At 40.9% G+C, this 16,505-nt stretch overlaps 1 protein-coding gene across 1 annotated transcript in view, besides 1 other annotated feature; it reads right to left on the bottom strand.

Annotated features, from left to right (window-relative positions):
• Positions 1 to 15,587, bottom strand: part of PRKCH (protein kinase C eta) — a 363,509-nt gene extending 347,922 nt beyond the window's left edge. Inside the window, exon 1 of the mRNA XM_024449661.2 lies at positions 15,387 to 15,587. The gene's annotated coding sequence lies outside the window, so the exon portion shown is untranslated. The remainder of the gene's footprint in view (positions 1 to 15,386) is intronic.
• Positions 13,672 to 13,771: an enhancer, noted in NCBI's record as "active region_8486". NCBI's record gives its function as "activates an Ori minimal core promoter by ATAC-STARR-seq in GM12878 lymphoblastoid cells {active_cell/tissue: GM12878}" and the evidence as "EXISTENCE:reporter gene assay evidence [ECO:0000049][PMID:35858748]".
• Positions 15,588 to 16,505: the final 918 nt, after the last annotated feature.

The raw sequence follows: 16,505 nt of genomic DNA, 5'->3' as shown, positions 1-16,505 counted from the left end.
GATTTTAAAAAAATCAATTAGGGGGAGAGATGAACAGGTGGAGCGCAGGGAGTCTTAGGGTGGTGAAACTATTCTGTATGATACTGTCATGGTGGACGCATGACATTGTGCATTTGTCAAAACCCATAGGATGTACACCAAGAGTGAAACCTGGTGTAAGCCATGAACTTTGGTTCATGATAATGTATTCATATTGGCTCATCAATATAACAAATGTATGACACTAATGCAAGATATTAATAATAGGCGAAATTGGGGAGGAGGGCGTGAGGATAAGTATATAGGAACTCTCTATACTTCCCATACGATTTTTCTGTAAACCTAAAACTTTTCAAAGAATAGTCTATTAATTTTTTTGTAAGTGGAGATAAAAACTAACCTCACTTGGCTATTGTGATGATTAAAATGGGTAAAACATACAAAAGCACTAAATAAATGTCCATAGCACCAAAAAAACCCACAATTACCTGTGTCCTACATGAATGCATCCTCCCCTCCCCCACTGCTCTCCCTAGAGGTGCCAACTGCTTTTGAAGTGGCCTGTATCCTTGCAGACCATTTTCCATGCATCTATATATGTACAGGAGACAATACCTTTCAAATACCTCCCAAAATTGTGTACCCATTTCTGTAAGCTACTTTTCCTTCATGTACCCCATCCACCCTTAAGGCGAAACCTTGAGGCTTTTTGTGCCCTGGGATTAGAATGGTAAGACACAGACCGGAAGAGGAAGTGGAACTCCCACCTGGGACTATGTAAAAGAGAAGAGTGAGTGAAAAGTTCAGAAGTGTCCTTGTTTTCTCCCATCTCTGGGCTGAACCTTGGGATGGGTGGGCGTGTAATAGCATTCAGATAGGTACAAAAGAACCCAAGACCACTGGGGCTAGGAATGTTTACCCAGAGCCCCCTGGGGGGCTGTGGTTCCAGCCTTTGGAAGAAGCCCCTCATCCCACTTGGTGCCACTTACATGTATATGATGTGCATTTCTCTGGGATGGAAACCTAGATGTAGATTTACCGAAGTGAATAATATGGGCATGGTTCTTATTATAAAAAGTAATGTGTGCACATGGAAATAATCACTTAAATGGAAAGAAATAAAATAAAGAGTAAAAATCTCACTCCATAATCAGCACCCCAGGCTCACTTTTTGTAGGTAACTGGTTTTCACTTGCTTATAGTTTTTTTTTCCTGGTAGTCATCTACATAATTCAAATAACATGTTTATACTGTTTCTTTGCTTATCAACTTCAAGGATTTCTTGAATAGTGCTTTAAAAAATTACGAATTTGACTCACATATATTAACCACCCTTCCAACTTTTGTTAACCTGTTTTTATTTTTAGTTCTATTGGCTATGTTTATAACTTTAAAAACACAGCTTTTTGATGTAGTAATGTTAAATAATATCTTTTACTGAGAAATATGAGGAAGTCAGTGTTCTTTTCCTTTTGTTCCCCTCTCTTTCCCCTAACTTTATATTACTATTTTTATGTGATCAAGGTTGATAATGTTTATATTCTCTTGTTATTATAATCAAGTCACATGCTTTATTTATAGAATAATTCTTTAAAAAATCAAAAAAGCGTTTATAATAATGATTGTGTAAATAATTTATTGCTGATTGGATAACATAGCTTAGCCAGAAGCAATATATCATAGAAGTAAATCATGCGGCTTAGAATAGCTCTGCCACTGAAGAGCCGTGTGACTTGGTAGAGTTACTCAATCTCTCTATGCCTCAATTTTTCATCTGAAAAAAATGAGATAATAATACCTACCCTCAAATAATTGTTTGAAGATTAAATAATCTATAAAGCATTAGCACAGTACCTGACACATAGTAAAATGTCAATAAGTGTTCATTATTGTTATTATTATTAGGTCACGTGAATGAATCCATTAGGAAGGTGTTGTAATTCTTGTTATCAAACTTGCATCACGCTAAGAATATTCCGAGTACCACAGTTAAACGGATTCTCTCTCTTGACACTTCATCAGTTCAAAATAATCCCATAGATTAGTTTGCTTCATGTTTAAACCATGATTTTTTGTATTTTCTGACTTTTCTAATTGCCTATTTTCTTGTTGAATGAAAAAATATACACTAGTCCCCTCTTATAAGTGGGAAATATGTTTCATGACATTCAATGGATGCCCGAAACCTCCGGTAGTATTGAATCCTACATTTACTATGTTTTCTCCTGTACATACATACCTATGATGAAGTTTAATTTATAAATTAGTCACAGTAAGAGATTAACAATAATAATAATAAAATAGAACACTTAACAATATATTGTAATGAAAGTTGTATAAATATAGTCTCTCTCTCTCTCTCTCAAAATATCTTATTGTATGTAATATTTTCAGACCATGGTTAATCGTGGGTAACTAAAACCACAAAAAAATTAAGCCTTGGATAAGGATTGACTACTGTAATAAGGCTATATTCCACTGTGAGCTGAATGGTCAATTTTGAGGAGAAGAAAGAGACTGTGTAGTCCCTGACAAATGGAAAGAGATAGAATCCTGTTGGTTTCTGACTTTCCAGTCCTGGTTCCCATGTGACCTGGCTTTTTTCTATTCCTCAGATACCTGGAAGATTCCCTATTCTATTCTTATAATATCCTGTAACACACAAACACACACACACACACACACACTCACTCACTCACTTAAACAGTAGCATATGAGTGTTCCTGTTTTCCTGAAACCCAGTGGACTGGTAGAGGGAATTATAATGAATGAAGAGTCTAGGGACTTTTCCAACCCTGACATTTTTTTCTATGGTTTTAAGCTCTTATGGTAATCTTCTTATCCAGGTTTTCATTCTGGGTAAACTTGTCCTGTTTTCTCTCCCTCTCTCTTCATCTGTCTCTTCCTATAGAAATGGAAAAGAAAAAAACACCCTCCACTTGCAGAAAGGGTCAGTCTTGTCCTTTAGTCATTACTCATCCTTAGGGATTCATAATGTAAAGTTCCAACCTGCACTTGTTAATACATTTAAAGGGATACGATATGAAATTCAATTTTTAATATACCAGATATGCAATGATTACAGGGTAAGAGGAAGGAATATTTCTGTTCCTTGATAAGGAAAGCTAGCTTGTGTATCATAACTAGCTTTAGATGTACCACTCTGTACATCTTGGCAGATACAAAATCAAAATTGGGGGATGGAATCCAATCCAAAAATACTGAAATGTTCTAGGAATGAATATTCTTTGCGTGCAGCTTAAGTTTAATGCCAAACTTTCCTGAAGACCAAAGGGGAGGGGGAGATATAATAATAGAGGTAAGCGCTCCATGGGGAACTAGCGCCTGATGTTTCATGACGCTTTCCAACAATGCGAATGGTGTCAGTTCCCCTACATTGACTGTGGCATTTTAATAAATCAAATTATCAAAGCCTCATAAATGTAAAAAAAAAAATGAAACAAAAACAAGTGAAGCAAGCATAGTTGCTGCTCTAACATCAAAGAATCCCAAACCATAAATCCATAACATTCACTTTCAAAAGCAGATGATGAAAAATATGGAATGAGTTTCTTAGATTTAATTTTAAAGCAGCAAAAGTATGTGAAAACAGAAGAGAAATGCTGAAAAGCAGAAACCAGAGCAGAGGGCACTTCATTTTAGAATTTTTAGCCTCTCCAGGGAGCAAAAGAGCTTAGTTCCTTGATGTCTGGGAAACCATGGGCGAAGTTTGCAAGCTCTTTTTATTTGTATTGAGTCCAATCATTCAGCTCAAGTCAGTAAATCAGACACCCAGGGGGTACATAACACATTATTAAATCTATGCAAGAGTTCTTAGTTCATCAAGGAAAAGAAAGGTGCTAAATGTCATGGTGATTTTGCTGATAATCAAACCATTCAATGTTAAATTGATTTTTAAATCATAGTCTCTTTTTTTTGGAAAGTTTCAGTTATTAGTAGTACATATTGGTCATTTTTTGGAGTTAGACACATTTCTTTCCCCTACTGATGACATTCCAGTTTCCTTTCAGATAATTGCTTTTCCCCCATTGTGTGTAAGCTTGGTGGGAAGTAGCGTCTTCCCCCATCCCTCAGCCTTGCAAGCTTAAGGGGGTAGGTCAACCTTATCCCAGTTTGTCCATGAGTGACACAGGCTCAGTCAATAAAACACCCTCCCCAGCCTGAGGATCTCATGGGAATGATGCACAAATATAAGATGATAGTGAAAATCTGTTTATTTCTGCTGATTGGCCTCCTTAGTTTCCTTACATCCTGCCCATTTTCCAAACATAGCCTTCCAGCCTTTTGATCTGTCTGCAGTAGCTACTTAGCAAATCCTTTACTTTTTCCTGAGACCATTTGAGTCTGTTTCAGTAACTCCTAACTAGGAAGTCTGACTAATGTACTCCTTCATTCAAAGAAAAAGGTTTGTTGAACATCTACTATGTTTCACACTGGGAATATAGAGACATAGTTTCTGCCCACACGCTAACTGTGGGGAGATCATTATGTAAACAAATAATTACAATGCAATATAATATACACTATTATAGAAATGAACAAATGTCACGAACGAAGAGGTCAATAATTCCACTTAGGGGACATAGGGAAGGAGGGGAGGTAAAGCACAAGTCTAGTTTTGAAGGACAAGTAGGAGTTTGCTTGACGAGTCAGGCTTTCCAACAGAGGAAACAGTGTACATAAGGCATGGAGGATGGAAGAACCGGTCATGTTTGGGGAGCTTCCAGTAATTAGGCTGGGGCAGAGCATACATGGGTGAATGAGTTTGAAGAAGGCTGAGGCTACATCATGAAGGACAATGTATTCAGTGCAATGGGATTGTTGTTAAATAAATAGCCAGTGGATGGCTAATGCAGAGAAAATAAAAAGCATTGCCCTTAAATACACTTAAATACATGAAGTCTCGGAAACTAGTTGTCCAGATGTAAAGCTTAAAATGGACAATAGATGCTTCAGACCAGTCAAGAATAACTTTTTTTTTTAAGGATCAATTCAGAAAAATAAAAATATTTGCAGGATGTATTTTACAAACAAAACAATTACTTTAAACCTCACGGGATTCCAGTTTTGATGACCTACTCTATTGATCAGAAGAATGTCAAGGATTTGATTGGCAATTCTGATTAGCTACTAAAATGTTAACATGGGAATATATGAGAATTATCTACAGTTGGAAGACAATTCTCCATGGGTCTCTCACATCTCTACGCACCTCACAAGTGGAGGCACTGTCTTTTGTTTCCGATCACCTTTTCAAGCAAGTGTGCATAGTGAACAGCCTTGGAGATATAGTGTTGGTTTGTGTTTCTCCCCTCCAACACTCATGTTGAAACTTAATCCCCAACGTGGCAATATTGAGAGATGGGGCCTTTAAGAGATGATACGGTCATGAGGGCTCTGCTCTCATGAATGGATTAATTCATTCATGGATGAATGGACTAATGGGTTAATAGTTTAATGAGTTATCATGGGAGGGGAACTGGTGGCTCTAGAAGCAGAGGAAGAGAGACCTGAGTACATGCTAGCACACTCAGCCCGCTCACCATGTGATGCCCTGCACTGCCTTGGGACTCTGCAGAGAGTCCTCATCAGCCAGAAGGCCCTCACCAGACATGGCTCCTCAACCTTGGACTTCTCAGCCTTCATAACTGTAAGAAACAAATTAGTACTGGGCTAAGCCCTATGGGACATAAGAAAAAAGAATAAAACATAACCCCAACTCTCACTATATGTAGGGAGAGGTGACAAACACATCTAAAACTAGAGCAAACAACAAAAAATAATATATCAGCAAGTATTACATTCCCATGGCAAAATATGTCCTTTTATTTATATTGTTTTGAACATTGTCAAATTTCAAAGGAGATGAAAATCAGTGAGGGCTCAATGAGGCAGAGGAAGCCTTTGTATAGGGACCTTAAGCTGAGCTCTGAAGGATGGGAGGATTGCTACGAAAGGAGAACAGAAAAGAAAACATTTATCATGAAAGTCAGAAGTGAGACGGCTGAGCAAGTTGTTGAATGTCAGTTGCCCAAACTGTCTCCTGTATTTATCCTCTAGGTGTCCTAGTCTCCCTGTCCGTGAAGTCTGGGCAATAATGTCCCTATGTCTGAGAGAAGTCATAGGGATGCAATAAGCCTGCAGGTGTGAAAGATCTTTTGAAGTGATAGCACTTAATAAAAAAGATGAATAGACTGATTAAATGGACAATGATCTTCTTATTGCTGAATCTTCTTTTTTCCAGTTTAAATGTCCCTGGGAGTCTATGTTCACGTGTCACATAGCAAAGCATGAGTCCTGTCTGTTGTTCTGTGTAACTATAACATAGTTTATCTGTGTTCTTAACGTGTACTGGTCAGAATTCTCCAGTTATGTCCTGACAGGCACAGATTGGAAAGGGGCTTTCACCTTCTTTGGTATAGATATTGTATTTATGCAGCCAAAAAGTCATTTAGCAGCACTAACTTTTATAGTCCTGTCAACTAAAATTACTTTTAGTTTTAATGTAATCTGCTACTGTATTGTTCCCTATCCTGTACTTCTGGACTCAAAGGTAGGATTTTAAACTCAAGTTTCAATTTGCCGTCTTCAGATGAGAGCTGTTGCAAAATGGTAGTGACGGCTGAGCAGATTAGCAACCTCAAATATATGTAAAGCAATTACCTAAACTAGTATCATCATCCAAAGGCGGAAACTGGGCCATTATCAATCCATTGTCTCTTGGTACAGCTGTCCCTTCAGCAATCATATTTCCACCTTTTACCCTAAGCTCCTTACTCCTGACCATCACCACATTCTCAGATGGCTTTGCTTCTTAACACTAGGTGGCAATTTCCTCCCAAAACATCTATAGATGTCGTCACTGGCACCAATTCCTTTCTCCTTCCCTCCAGGATCCAATGTTATGCTTTAGCATCTTTTTTTAATAGGCTATTTTAAGGACTTTATGCATTGGCTTTTGGTGGCCATCATTTCAACAACCCATGTTGTCTCTCTCTCCTGTATCTTTAATATTGCCCTTCTTACTGCCTCTTCTACTTCAGCACAAAAATAGCTTTTCTGTCTTTTTCATAAAACCCATCTATCTATAAAGGACTGAATGTTTCCATGCCCCCCAAAATTTATATGCCGAAGCCCTAACCCCCAGGGTGCTTCTACAGAAGTAATTAAGATTAAATATGGTCGTAAGGGTGGGGCCTTGATCCTATAGGATTAGTGTCCTTATAAGAAGAGACACCAGAAGTTTGCTCTCTCTCTCTCCTCCATGTCCACTGAGGGAAGTCCATGTGACAACATAGTAAGAAGGTGGCCATCTACAAGCCAGGAAGCAACCCCTCACCAAACTCTTAACTGACACGTGGGTCTTCAACAACTCCTACTCCTTTAAAATTCAGTCCAAGGTGTCTTCCCGGGAGATATGCCCTGATTCTTAATTCTAATTTGGATGTTCTTCCTTTGGTTCCTAAAATATCCTATGCATAATTCTTATCACATTTAATGTAACCATTTACTCATCTGTCTTCTCCAATAGTATATGCCCATTTGATTTTATGAAGAACATGCCTCATTTAATTTTACAGTTCCAGTGACTAGCACATTGCCTGACACAGAGTAGGCCTTCAAAACCTAACATGTGATAGGTCTTCAGTTATAAAATGCACTTTGAATCCTCTCTTTTTGGTAAAAGATACATTTTTAAACCATACACTATAAAAACTTATCATAATTATGGTAATCTATCCTTGAAGGTGGGAAAACAATTTATTTGCATAAATTTGGGCACAGAAAGTACCACAGATAGAAGATAAACTCATTGAGAGACCACAGAGTAGAGTTCAAAATAAAAACAGAATGTGTTGATAGGATATCTATGTAAAAGATATACTAAAGCAAGTTATTTAGGCAAAAGAAAAATGATCCTAAATGGAAACATGGTAATACCAGGAAGAATATAGAGAAATGGAAAAAGTAAATATGCAGGTAAAACATAATGAATATTGACTGTTTAAAATGATAATGATGGCCAGGCGCAGTGGCTCACGCCTGTAATCTCAGCACTTTGAGAGGCAAAGGCAGGCGGATCACCTGAGGTCAGGAGTTCGAGACCAGCCTGGCCGACATGGTGAAACCCTGTCTCGACTAGAAATACAAAAATTATCCGGGCATGGTGGCACATGCCTGTGATCCCAGCTACTCAGGAGGGTGAGGCAGGAGAATCACTTGAACCTGGGAGGCGGAGGTTGCAGTGAGCCGAGGTCGCCCCATTGCACTCAAGCCTGGGCGATGAGAGCAAGACTCCATCTCTAAATAAATAAATAAATAAAATGATAATGACGATGTTTTGTGAGAATACAACTATGTAGAAACAAAATATATGACAACAATAACAATAGCCAAAATAGGGTAAATGGATGTCTTAGTCTGTTTGGGCTGCTATAACAATATATCATAAACTGGGTGGCTTATAAACAATAAAAATTTATTTCTCACAGTTCTAGAGATTGGGATGTCCAAGATGAAGGCAAATTTGGTGTCTGGTGAGGGCCTGCTTTCTGGCTTATAGATGATACCTTCTTGCTGTGTCTTCACATGGTAGAACGGGTGCAGGATCTCTCCAGGGGTCTCTTTTATAAGAGCGTTAATCCCACTCATGAGAGTGCTATCACCCTGACCTAATTGCCCCCCAAAAGTCCCATCTCCAAATGTCATGCCCTTGAAGATGAGGATTTCAACATATGAATTTGAAGGTGATGTAAATATTCATATATTCAAACCATAGCAATGGGCTTAAATGCTGGAAGTTTCTTTCATTGTCCTAGAAGTATTAATGGTACTAATTTATAGTAGACTCTAATACATCAAGGATGCATATTTATAATCTCTGTGGTAACCACAAAAGAATAACTAAAGAATATATAACAACAAGCAAATAGAGAGTAGGAAATGGAACACCTTTTAAAAAACTAAATTAATTTAAGAAAGGACAGAAGACAAGAAAGGAGAGAAAGAGGGATAAAAGACAGATGGGACACATAGTAAATGAAAAGAACAGTGGTAGATCTAAACCCAAATAGACAGCCATGGTGGGCCTATTGTTCAGAGCACTAATTTCAGAAAAGCAGGAAAAGCCAGCCTGGGAAAGCAATGTGTTTATCCTAGAGCAGGTGTGCAGAGGAAGACAGAAAGAAGATACTTTGTGCCTTAAGAGAAACAGGGAGGGATGTATTATCAGGCGAGCTTTCTGGCCCAATATATCCCCTGAATATGGATTCTCTGAAAGTCTCTTGTATCCCTACAATAAACCCTCCTTTTTGAGCAGATTTCAGGCTGTTCTGTTCCAACCTTCTGTTGTAAACAAATGACCCCTGACTGAGACAGTGGTCATGGTCAATAAGAGCCAAGAAATATGGTCTCATTAGTCCAGCCTCTGGGGAGAAAGAACTAGTGTCTTGGTCATGAAACATTTATCACAAGAATGCTTTCATATTCTAGGTTTTGATCAGGATGATTTCTGTTTTTTTTTTAATATTCTAAAACAACAGATAATCACTCTTTACATTAATCTTAATACAAAGGTGATGTTGTTTATAATTAACAGGAGATTGAAATTTGCAAAGTAAAAATTTTTCATGCTAAGAAAGCAAAAGAAAAACAAAGGCCTCTTGGTTGATTTTTCTACCATGACCATCTGGTTTTGTAATTAATGTCTTGCCAATATACTAAAATATTTTTAATGTAAATCTGTTACATTCTTGCTGCATTTTCAATTAAAGTCTCTGAATTAAAACTTTGTACCATGAGTCAGCAGTTAAGGCAAACATGTTTTTTCCATTTATCTTCCTTTGGGAAAGCCTAGTCCCAAATGCAGAATGCCTGCCACCCTTTAGGTCTTTTCATCAATCCAGATGTCCATAATTACTTCTAGAGGTTACCACAGTGGTTTGCCCTGCCATCTGACACCATCTTTCCCATGATTGCCTAGGATGGCTTCCCTTGCCTTTAATTATTCCCTCTAAATACTCCCTCTTAACAGAAAAAACATAACCTGTGGTCTGCAGATCCTAGAACCTGGAGACACCTCATGTTCATGGTGACTTCATGCACATTTTAGATGCATGCTGGGACAAAGAGACTCTTCACATCCCAGTTTAGAAGTGGTTGCTCTGTTCACAGAACTGCACTGCAGAAAGCCAATATTTTAAAAGGAAGGGAAGGTGAAGTCCAAAAGTCATCAAGTCCAACATTATTTATGACAATGTCTTCCAAAGTGTGGCCCCAAACCCATTGTTACCCTTATCAACATTTGGTTGGCCTTAGCCAAATGGCCAATTGACCATCTACTATAGATGCTAAGCTCAGTAGTGTCTTGTTGCCTGAACATTTAGGTCAGAAAGCTCTGCTGCTCCTGAAGAAGCCCTTCTGAAAGCACCCTACCAAGGGCACTACCCTGACCACCTGGCCACACTGCAGCCGTTTCCTTTTTGCACACTCCTCTACACACACCTACCTGATAACCGACTTTGGTGATAATAGCATAAAACTTCATAAAATGTTACTAAGCCTGGAGTTTTCAGACCATTTACTATTTGTTAACATTCTAGTACAGATCATATGTTATTCTAGGAGATTTACCTACACCATCTCTAATTCTTGCAATAACTTTTCAGAATGAACACCTTTATCTGTATTTAACAGATGAAGAAACCTAGGCTCAGAGTTGTTAACTGTTAACTTGCCCCAAATCACATGGCTATTTTATCTTTCTGACCTGGCTTTTCACATAGGAAAATTAATCTAGTCTGGGAGTATCTGCTCAGGAATTGAATAGAGAGGGAAAATCCAGAAATGACAACAGGAAAATAGAAATAATCTTTTTAAAAATTAAATTTGAATAATATGTACCTGTATCATCTACTGCTTAAAACCTTCCTATTTCACACATCAGAGTAACACCTAACTGGTGGAGTTGCCTACTTAGGGTTCTGAGCCAATATGTCTTTATTTCAGGCACACACACACACACACACACACACACAATGTTTTAGGAAACATTTCTTATTCTTCATATGCTTTGAATATCCATCTCCCTGCCAATGACCCTGGGATGAGCTGAGTGTACATGAATTTAAGCATGTGGATTACATTCTTCTGGAATACGTATGAGCTTGTAAACTAAGGGGGAAAGAACTTAGGAAAAAGTTTATTTGGGGATTTGATCAAAACCAAATTACTCAAGGAAAAAGCATACAAAATCTGCAATAGTTCAACAAACTCCCAAAGCCATCAAAGCCAAAGGCTCTAAACAATACAAGCCAGGCAATTCAGAAGGAGTAAGTTGAGACGTGAAAAATTCTGACCCAATTGCTTAGTATATGTTGTTTCTAGAATTTTTTTTTTTTTTGAGACAGGGCTGCAGTGCAGTGGCTCCATCTCAGCTTACCGCAACCTCCGCCTCCCAGCTTCAAGAGATTCCCCTGCCTCAGCCTCCTGAGTAGCTGGGATTACAGGTGTGCACCACCATACCCAGCTAACTTTTGTATCTTTAGTAGAGATGGGGTTTTGCCATGTTGGCCAGGCTGGTCTCCAACCCCTGGCCTCAAGTGATCCGCCCACCTCAGCCTCCTAAAATGCTGGGATTACAGGCGTTAGCCACTGTACCCAGCCTGGAATTTTCTCCACAGAAGCCAAACATTTATTTTAAGTCAAGAAAACAGGCCTTTCGGGAGAGCCTGAGAAAAAAATAGGTGAGCAAAATCTGGTTACCTTAACAAACTCAGTCAGTGTAAGTGTAGAATACATAGGAGATTGTCATAGCTACAATAACAAACCCATTCCCTCCTCTCACTTTCACGGAAGCTGCTTGGAGAAAATTTTTCCACCTTCTTCAGGCTGAGAGAAGTCAGATTTTCTCTCTTTTGTGCAGAATTATATTCACCCAAGTCCTGACCACAGGCCACAGAATCAGATTTCTTATTAATAATAATCTTTTTCATTGTTTTGATTTTAGAAATTAGTTAATCCTGTGACTCTCCTTTCATTGAAAGCTATTATTGCATTTGTTTCTGTGGTCTTTTGGCTTGAGCTGGTTGTTTACAAGTTATTTTTTTCACCCTAAATTGTGGGTTCATTCATTTGATCAATAGATGAATAAATAATTTCAGTGCTATGGAAATAAGGTAAAGTAAATAGCAAGTAACTGGGGGTGGGGTGTGGGTGCTACTTTAGATCAGGTAGTGGGATGGCATCTCTGAGGAAGTGACATATGAGCTGGGAGTCCATCGGGGAAGAGAGTTTCAGGCCAGGAACAGTGAGTGCAGAGCCTCAGAGCGGGGAGCGTCCTGCCTTCAAGAGAATAGAAAGGTGGGAGAGTGGTCCTAGAGTGGAAACACAGCAAGAGGCAGGGTGGTGGGAGACAGGCTGGAGTGGGACCACACGGGCAAGCCTTCGTCTTGGAGAACACGGTTTAGATTTCACATTAAGTACAAGAGAAAAACCACTGAAGGATTTCCAGAAAGGGAATGACATAATCTGGAATTCCTGGGGTTTTTGTTTGCTTGTTTTCTCTTGAATTTTTGCTTTTAAAAGACCATACTGACTGCTGTTTAGAGAATGGACTAAATAGGGCATGAGTAGAGGCAGAGAGACTAGAAGGTTGATACAGATGTTCGGGTGGGAAGCAACTACTGGTCTCTCTTTTGGGGACAATGATATGAATATTTAAGTCGAAGGACTGTGAAGACCTGACTAACCTAAGATCCCAGAGCCTGGAACCCATTAACCAAACTTTTCTTAAAGGGTTGGGGGCAGAGGTGGGTGGTGAGGATGAGAAAAATTGTTTTATTCAGAAGAGCAGCACCATAACTTATTATTATAACAGTCCCCATTGAGTGTATTCTATGTGGAGAGTACATTATGATATGTAATATATTTTATCAGCCCAATGACCCTATAGGTTGGACATTATTAACTCTGTTTTGCAGATAAAGAAGTGGAGGCATAGAATGGCTAAATGATTTATCCAAGGTCACAAAGCTAGCAATTGATGAAGATGAAATTGAACAAGTCCTTGTGCTGTCCCAGAAAGAAAAAGAGAGAGAGAAGGAAGGAGAAAATGAAAGGGAGAGAGAAAGAAACAGGGCTATCAGGTAGAAAACTGGTAGTACCATTACAACAAAGACCATATAAAAAATATCTCAGGGGTTTCACTGACCTGGCTTGGGAGGAGGACTCTACCCATATATTAGAAATTAATTCTGAACATTTGCTTTACATTTTGGCAGAGTGCGAGTGATGAGAGAGGAAAAAAAAAAGGTCAAACTTCCTAAAAGAAAGCAACAGGTTAAAAAGTGTGGTCATTATCAGAAAAAAAAAAATCAAGTAACATACACTCAACCAAAAAGAAAGGAAGGTAGGAAGACAGAGAGAAAGGGAGGAAGAAAGGAAGGGAAGGGAAGGAGGGAGGGACGGAGGGGAGAGGAAAATGTGCCTCCCCTACTCTCAGGAAGAAACAGAAGCAAGAGAGAGAGGAAGGGGAGAGAGAGAGAGAGAGAGATAACATTTCAGTGCAGTCTGTTAGCAATAAAGGAAGCATCTCAAGGCAGGCAGACAAGGGAAAGGCCCTGCACTGGAGACAACTCCGAGAAGGGGAATATCTTACAGAGTCGGGGCACACTTCCATCCCCCCTTTGCCTTTGCCCTAAACTTGAGAATTTTGCAAGAAGAAAATTATGGACTTTGCCTCGTTTCTGTTACTCTGTTTTCTTAACAAACAGTGACCTAGTGAGAAATCTCAGTAAGGTCAGGGCTGGGAGATCGGCAAGCTGGGGACCCCGCTGGGATTCCCAAACACCGGCGGGCTTCCCCCTGTAGGGAGCGCGGACGCTGCCCGGGCCTCGCGGGGGCGCTGGGGCGCTGGGAGCTCTGCGAGTCACCGCCGCACCCTGTGTTTTCTTCCGAAGGAGCAGATCGTCTTTCGATCCCAGTGCTGTCCTTTTGTTTTATGTACTATTGCTTTTTTCTGTTCAAATACAGCAACGGGCTGGCGCGGTGGCTCACGACTGTAATCTCAGCACTTTGGGAGCCCGAGGCGGGTGGATCATCTGAGGTCAGTAGTTCGAGACCAGCCTGATCAACATGGTGAAATCCCGTCCCCACTAAAAATACAAAAATTAGCCGGGCGTGGTGGCAGGCGCCTGTAATCTCAGTTGCTCGGGAGGCTGAGGCAGGAGAATCGCTTGAACCCGGAGGCGGAGGTTGCAGTGAGTCGAGATTGCTGCCACTGCACTCCAGCCTGGGCAACAAGAGCAAAACTCCATCACACACACACACACACACACACACACACACACACTACAGCAACGTCTGGGGGTGAGGAGGTCCCAGAGGCAGCAGGACCCCGGACACACACACACACACACACACACACACACACACACACACACACCACACCACCCCCCCACCCCCCCGACACACACACACACTACAGCAACGTCTGGGGGTGAGGAGGTCCCAGAGGCAGCAGGACCCCGGAGCCGGGAGGCGCCCGGAGGGGAAGAGGTTGGGTTGCGGAGCCACAAGGCCGCCTGCCCGAGCCGCTGCCTGGGAGCCCGACCCGGAGCCGGAGCCGGAGCCAGAGCCGGAGCCAGAACTGCCTGAGAGCCGCGGGCCAGCCTTCCTCGGTTTGCAGGCTGTGGGCGGGGGCAGAAGCTGAGCCTGCATCCTCCTCCTAGCCCGCAGCTACCCAACCCTGCCTTGACAGGCACAGAAAGTTGGGCCGCCTCCCCTCCCCTCTGCCCTCTTTCCTTAACCTGCAAAGGCAGAGGTAAAGCCAGCACTTGTCTCTCAAGACAGGACAGTTATGGGTGCCCCGGGGGCACATCCAATGGAGGGCATACTTTATGCTAGATATATACCATTCCTTATTAATAGAGACCACATATATAATATATAGCATGCGTTATCTCACCTAATCCTCCCAACAAATTAACCTGAAACTCAAAAGGGTTGTCCTATCTGTCCAAGGTCATACAGCGAGTTAGTGGGATGCTAAGAGTCAGACTCAGATCTTGACTTCAAAGCCCCTGTTTTTAGTTTGTAGTATTCATGAACTGATTGGATAATTTATTAAGTGCCCACTATGTGCCAGAGAAGGATAAAGACCACTGTGGGGCCCAAGGCTCTGAAAAGATAAGGATGTCCTCTTCCCACCCCGCATGCAGTGTGGAATTCAAAATGAAATTTGATTTTGTTAAGGTTACAATATTTATGTCTGCTAAAATTAAAGTAGCACATTCCATTCTTAATTTGTATTTTTTTCGGATCGAAAAACTCTGAACAAGATTGCTGACGCTACATTTTTCTTTTTGTGCACTCAAGCACATGCTTACCCAGACCCTGATACGATCCTGGACCAGGCAGAAGCAGCGTCCTTCTCCTGGAGGAGCTTGGAGCAGCAGCAGGAGGCAGGCATTACACCCCGATAAGCATGCAGAGTTCTGAAGAGGAAGCTCGCAGCCTCACTCACTCCAGGCTTTTCCTCTGGACCTGAGCTCTGATACCCACTGCATTGTCAGAATCAGAGCAAATCTGGAGGCCAGAGAGCAAGACCAGCAAAGCCAGGATCTCTGGGGTAATTAGGCCCGCCTTGCCCACAGGTGCTCCACAGGTGGTCTCAGCTCCCAGCAATGACCCAGGAGAAGCCCACGGGAACCCTCAGCTGCAACCAATCCTCCAGACTGCTGGCCTGCCTGCCTTCCTGAAATAGTCCAGATTTCACTTATTAAACATATTAATCTGAAGTTAACAATTTGTGCTTGTTTCACTAAATGGCTTGAAGAGAAGAATGCAAGGAAGAAGAATTTGATTTGATGGGAAGGCTTAACCCCGATGGACTAAGCGGCCTTCATATTCTGACTTTAAAATAACTGGAAATGGAGGGACTATTCACAGAAGTGGAGAGTCAAAGGGTAAACCTAACTGGAGTTAAAGAAACACAAACAAAACCCATCCCCTTCTTGGCCCCAACCTGCCATGTGACTCTAAGGACATTGCTTACTGCAGTGACAGCATTTTAAACAGCTGCCCAGAGGGGTTTTAAATAGACTTGATGTAATTCAATGATTTATAGAGCATGGGTTACCAAAATATTAAAGTTCTGAAATATCCCTAAACCAAGACCATGGCCCTGCCATTACCCACTCTGAACCGAATCATTCTCTGCTGTTGGAGTGTGGTGCATGTGGCTTCTTCAGAAAACTGCGGCTGCTCTAAATGAATGGCCAGAAAAAGATAAATAGCCTCTGATGCATAGATGTGACCTTCCATATGAAAACACACTCTCCCGGTCTTCGGCAACTCAGTCCGTGGAAAGCACCAATCTTCAGAAAACAAGCCAGACAGTTATTTTTTAATTGCTTATCAAATCTAAGTATTCAAGGAAATTGCAGTGGGGTGGGGTGGGGGTGGGAATACACAAAATAATGAATCTGGGTAATGAAGTGACCCTG

The sequence above is a fragment of the Homo sapiens genome, chromosome 14 (genome assembly GCF_000001405.40).
Source record: "Homo sapiens chromosome 14, GRCh38.p14 Primary Assembly".
NCBI classification, from domain to species: domain Eukaryota; kingdom Metazoa; phylum Chordata; class Mammalia; order Primates; family Hominidae; genus Homo; species Homo sapiens.
The sequence above is the reverse complement of the archived record's forward strand: the minus strand, read 5'-3'. Positions and strand labels throughout refer to the sequence as shown.